The 942-nt window shown below is 43.7% G+C and overlaps 1 annotated feature.

Annotated features, from left to right (window-relative positions):
• Positions 356-650: an enhancer, noted in NCBI's record as "tiled region #5591; K562 Activating DNase matched - State 12:CtcfO, and HepG2 Activating non-DNase unmatched - State 12:CtcfO". NCBI's record gives its function as "activates a minimal TATA promoter and a strong SV40 promoter by Sharpr-MPRA in K562 cells, with weak activation in HepG2 cells {active_cell/tissue: HepG2 | K562}" and the evidence as "EXISTENCE:reporter gene assay evidence [ECO:0000049][PMID:27701403]".

Consider the following 942-nt stretch of genomic DNA (forward strand, 5'->3'; position numbering starts at 1 on the left):
CCTGTGATTTCCCTTTGACTTCCTAGACTTTTGTGACCTACCTGGCTCCTCAGGAAAAAAAAAAAAAAAAAAAAGGATCTTGGGAGAGACAATGTGACAGTTGCATTCAGGCAACTGTTGCACTTCCCTCCTTAACAGAGGTAGTGTGCTAGTTTGAGCTCTATATACTGCTGTTATAGCCCATGCTAAAGCCTTCACCCTTAGAGAATGGTTCTGGTTAACTTCTGAACTTAAAATTCCCTTACTAATTAAGTACCATTCTAATTGGAGGCAGAATAGGTGCCTTAAAATAACATAGGGACTAAATGACTATTGATGGGACAGTATAGAGACTAAAATTTGGCTTTGGAGGATATTTTACTCCTAGTTGTTGAAGGCAGAATTTTCCAGTTTACAGAAGCAACATGAAGCCTGATTTCTAGTAGAGAAGTGCAAAAAAAGAAGAGAATTGGGAAGCTAGAGTGTTTTGGTAAAGGACCTACAATGTGCCTCATGGAGAGGATCCCTATTCCACTAGGTGGTGCTGTTGACCTTGAAATGCCATGTGCTGTCCAGACCAAGGGCAGAGAGAGACCTGGAAGTTCCATGTGCTCTCCAGACCAACGGCAGAGAGTGATACTCACTGTGGGAGGGGGGACCCTCTCTTCCTAGAAAATCACAAAGACACCCTTTGAGTTATATCCCTGGTTACTACGACATTCCCTGATCTTGCCAAACAAGATTACTTCCCTGAACTGTAAAACTTCCCACACATTGCATACACAGAGAGGATAGGAGATATGGTGGTTGCAGATAGGAAAGGAGGAAATTATGATAGGAAAGTTGGAGATCCTGTTGCTGGCACCCCATTGGGTGGTCGGAGGCTGGGGTCAGTCTAGAAGCCTTTGGATAACACTGGGGAGTAGCCCCAGCCAGAAATCTTCAGTCACTTCAAAACCTCTT

Source organism: Homo sapiens, chromosome 7 (genome assembly GCF_000001405.40).
Source record: "Homo sapiens chromosome 7, GRCh38.p14 Primary Assembly".
Classification (NCBI taxonomy): Eukaryota; Metazoa; Chordata; class Mammalia; order Primates; family Hominidae; genus Homo; species Homo sapiens.